The 2,343-nt window shown below is 48.1% G+C and overlaps 1 annotated feature.

Moving 5' to 3' along the window:
- Positions 1,415-1,916: an enhancer, noted in NCBI's record as "NANOG hESC enhancer chr18:56758336-56758837 (GRCh37/hg19 assembly coordinates)". NCBI's record gives its function as "activates a minimal SCP1, AML or CMV promoter by ChIP-STARR-seq in primed H9 embryonic stem cells {active_cell/tissue: H9 hESC(primed)}" and the evidence as "EXISTENCE:reporter gene assay evidence [ECO:0000049][PMID:30033119]".

The following is a 2,343-nucleotide window of genomic DNA, read 5'->3' on the forward strand; positions in this document are numbered from 1 at the left end:
CAGTGACAAAATACATTCCTGGAAGGTGAAATATTTTTCTCCTGGAATTATGTGCTCTTTAACCCCTTTCAACACTTAGAATCTACCTAATTCATGAAGTGGCACCAGCTTATTTGACTTGTCCTTTTCTTTCATCTGTATACAGCAATGTCTTGTGTATTAGTTTCTTAGAGTTGCAGTAACAAAGTACTAAAAAGCGGGTGGCTTAAACCATAGAAATGTCATGTCTCACAGTTCTGGAGACCTGAAGTCCAAGATCAAGGTCTTCAAAGTCAGCAGGGGTGGCTTCTGCGGGCTGCGAGAGCAAACCCGTTCCATGCTCTCCCCCAGCGTCCATGGTTTGCATGTTCCACGCTTTCCCCCAGCATCCATGGTTTGCACCCATTCCATGCTCTCCCCCAGCATCCATGGTTTGCACCCGTTCCATGCTCTCCCCCAGCATCCATGGTTTGCACCCGTTCCATGCTCTCCCCCAGCATCCATGGTTTGCACCCGTTCCATGCTCTCCCCCAGCATCCATGGTTTGCACCCGTTCCATGCTCTCCCCCAGCATCCATGGTTTGCACCTGTTCCATGCTCTCCCCCAGCGTCCATGGTTTGCACCCGTTCCATGCTCTCCCCCAGCGTCCATGGTTTGCAGGCAATCTTCGGGGCTCCTCAGCTTGCAGAAGCACTGCCCTGATCTCTGCCTTCATCTTTATGTGGCATGTTCCCACTATCTGTGGCCACATTTTCCCTATTTATAAGGATATTTGTCATGTTTGAATAGAAGCCCACCCTACACCAGTATGACCTCATCTTAACTAATTATACTTGCAATGACCCTATTTCCAAATAAGGTCACAATCCTGAGGTACTGGGGAATAAGGGCTTCAGAATATGAATTTGAGGGGAACACAATTCAATCCATAACACCTTTCAAAACTTTAGGTTTCTTTTTCTTTTTTGAGACAGGGTCTTGCTCTGTCTCCCAGGCTGGTGTGCAGTGGTGTGATTTTGGCTCACTGCAGCCTCAACCTCCTAGGCTCATGCGATCCACCCAGCTCAGCCTCCCAAGTAGCTGGGACCACAGGTGCACGCCACCACATGTGGCTAATTTTGTTTATTTTTTGTAGAGATGAAGTCTTATTACATTGCCCCATCTGGTCTTGAACTCCTGGGTTCAAGCGATCTGCCCATCTTGGCCTGACAAAGTGCTGGGATTACAGGTGTGAGCCACCGTGCCCGGCCTAAAACTTTAGGTTTCTAATAAAGCACTTCTAAGGGCTCTTTGAGACAATATTTTCCACTGTGAATGAGGAGGTATATGAAAGAAACTCTCTTAAAACACAGTGAAACTGCTGTCGACAAGACAGCTGCCTCTCGGCATTAAAATGCAAAATTGGCCAGGGAGAGCACCATTCCCTTTGCTATGTGAGATGACACCGCCATCTTGGGCATGGCAACTGAGTGCACTTCCATCCTTGAAGTCTATTATTTTTGCAATGAGTTTCAAAACAGGCAGAAGAAACAGCTGCTCTGGTGTGAATTTGCTCCCTCCCCGTCACTCTGGCTCCAATTATCTGCTCAGAGACACCAGAAGGAAAACACTTTGCTCTTCCTCCCACATAGACAGAGCTTGTCCTCCTTTCAGATCAACTAAGGGGCAGTTTGCAGCAGGGTTCTGCAGAGGGAGACATTCTTGTTTGGCCTCACAATCTCTCCTAGTCTTATGCAGATTTCTGACAGTCTGTTATTTGTGTGGTCTTTGAAGACATGGTGGCCCTGCAGCTGAATGGCGCTGGGCAGGCCTGTGGCATGGAATAACCAGAGGGCCATGGAGGGGCAACTTTTACAGCCACCCCTCAATGTTGGCCAAATGTGACTCAGCCTGATGCACTGCAAGGTGAGTCTGAGGATCACATGCAAAGGACAAGCTGCCACTCTGTTGTGTTTTTGATTGGAAGGGTCGGTGTGTGACTTGTCTTTTGAGGGTAGTGACATTTCCTTTTCTTTGTCCTGTTCAGCATATCATGGGGACTATGAACTTTCTGTTCTTGCCACTGACATTCCCCTTTCTAAAAATCCAATCAAATAACTATACAGGTCTAAGGAGAGATGATGAGGAGATGATGGGTCTCCGTGAATGGCACAGAGGCCACATTCAGAGTAAAGCTGGGCATTCACTTGGGCATAGGAGGCCACTTCCAATACCACTCATGTCGCCTGACTCAACATCAAGGAATGTAGGGACCAAAGTAAAGAGTGATGTCCCCAACCTGCCTTCATCCCAACCTTTGCCCTGTCTTCATGTCCGGGCAGGTGCAGCCACCCAGCTCCTCTTTTGATTGTCTTCCCGTCCCT

The sequence above is a fragment of the Homo sapiens genome, chromosome 18 (assembly GCF_000001405.40).
Source record: "Homo sapiens chromosome 18, GRCh38.p14 Primary Assembly".
Classification (NCBI taxonomy): domain Eukaryota; kingdom Metazoa; phylum Chordata; class Mammalia; order Primates; family Hominidae; genus Homo; species Homo sapiens.